The sequence below is a fragment of the Homo sapiens genome, chromosome 22 (assembly GCF_000001405.40).
Source record: "Homo sapiens chromosome 22, GRCh38.p14 Primary Assembly".
NCBI classification, from domain to species: Eukaryota; Metazoa; Chordata; class Mammalia; order Primates; family Hominidae; genus Homo; species Homo sapiens.
Genome location: NC_000022.11, coordinates 12798034 through 12799629, shown reverse-complemented (window position 1 = coordinate 12799629; position 1596 = coordinate 12798034).

The following is a 1596-nucleotide window of genomic DNA, read 5'->3' as shown; positions in this document are numbered from 1 at the left end:
GTCCCAAAGAAGGCATCACAGCCCTGGCTTGGGGAGCTCCTAGGTCTGGGCTCCCTGAAGGGCCACAGCTCTTGTCTCCTTCTCTCTTCTCTTCTTCTTGCCTGCAATTTGGCAAGCAAGGGGGGCGTTTCAGCCCTGTTTATGTTACACCTCTTTCAGCCCTGCTAGTTTGCAGGTCCCGAGTTCTTGTCCTGAGTCCAGGAAGAATGAGGTATGTGGGCAAGTAGAAGGTGAGCAAGGTGAAGAGGTGCTTTATTGAGCAACAGTACAGCTCAGAGGAGAACTGCAGTGGGTAACTCCTTTCTGCAGGCAGGTCATCCAAACGTCTGTTCAGCTCTCAGCAGCTGAGAGAGACACACTGAGGTTAGCTGTGCCCACATTGACGAGGCTGTTCGAGCTGAGGAGTGCCTTCAGGCCAGTGCTGAGCCACTCTTAGCCCCACCTCAACCTCCCTCTTGTGCTCGTCACTGCCCAAAGTCTGGAGGGGGCCGAGGTGGCAGGGGGCTGGCATGTCAGCACTGCCCTGAGCTTGCACAAACCGGGCCGGGTTGCGACTGTGCCTGGGTTCAGCCTCAACTTGGATCCGAAGTTGGAGTGGGCTCTGGGAGTGGAGAGATGCCAGGTGGTGGGACCAGGTACGACTGAGCCTGCGGGGGCAGGGGGGCTTGCTGGGCCTCTGAGAGTGCAAAGATGCCCTGGTTTGCAGTCATGGCTGGATGGCTGCAGCTGTGCCTGGGAGGGCGGAGCTCCAGCCTGCCAATTTAGAAGGGGTGGGTCTCCCACCCGTTCCTGGCTCCCACCAGCTTCGAGGAGCGCACAGCCCCAGCCACTCCTCCCCACTGCAGCCAGTGTCTCCATAGCAACTGCTCCACGTGGACCACTGCTGCCATCACAGAGCAGTCCTTGCAGGTGCCTTTCTTGTACCTCAGCACTCCTGGGGGTCATTAGAAGCCCTAGCAACGCTGCTCACCACACTATAGCTCCGGAGGCCCTAGCAGTCCTGCTACCACAGATCCCACTTCTGACACCATCTATTAAAAGAAAATCTTCAGCTGAATTAAATTTAAAGGAACTTAATTGAGCAATGAATGATTCACGAATCAGGCAGCCCCCAGAATCACAGCAGATGTGGTGAGACTCCAGCACAGCTACATGGTGGAAGATTTATAGACAATAAAGGGAACGTGATGTACAGAAATCTGAAGTGAGGAGTGAGGACCAGAAGCAACTGGGTCCCTTACCGTTCTCAGCAGTGAGGTCCAGAAACAACTGGACTGGTTACAGTGCTCAGCATTTGCCTTATCTGAACACAGCTGAACACTCAGCAGTGTGTGAGTGGCAGAAGTTTGGTTGTTGGGATTGGCCAGGACTCAGCTATAGTTACAGGCGCATACTCCTAAGTTAGGTTTTCAGTCTTCCTACCTATTAAGTTAGGTTGCAGTTTGTCCACAGGGACTCAAATCTAGAAGTACAGAGTCCTTCCCAGGCCATATTTAGTTCACTGTAATAGTTCCTATTATGACCTCACTGACAGTTCTTTTTCTCTGAATTCTCCTTTCTTCTCAACAGCTTATCCAAATGTTCCATTAGCCCCTG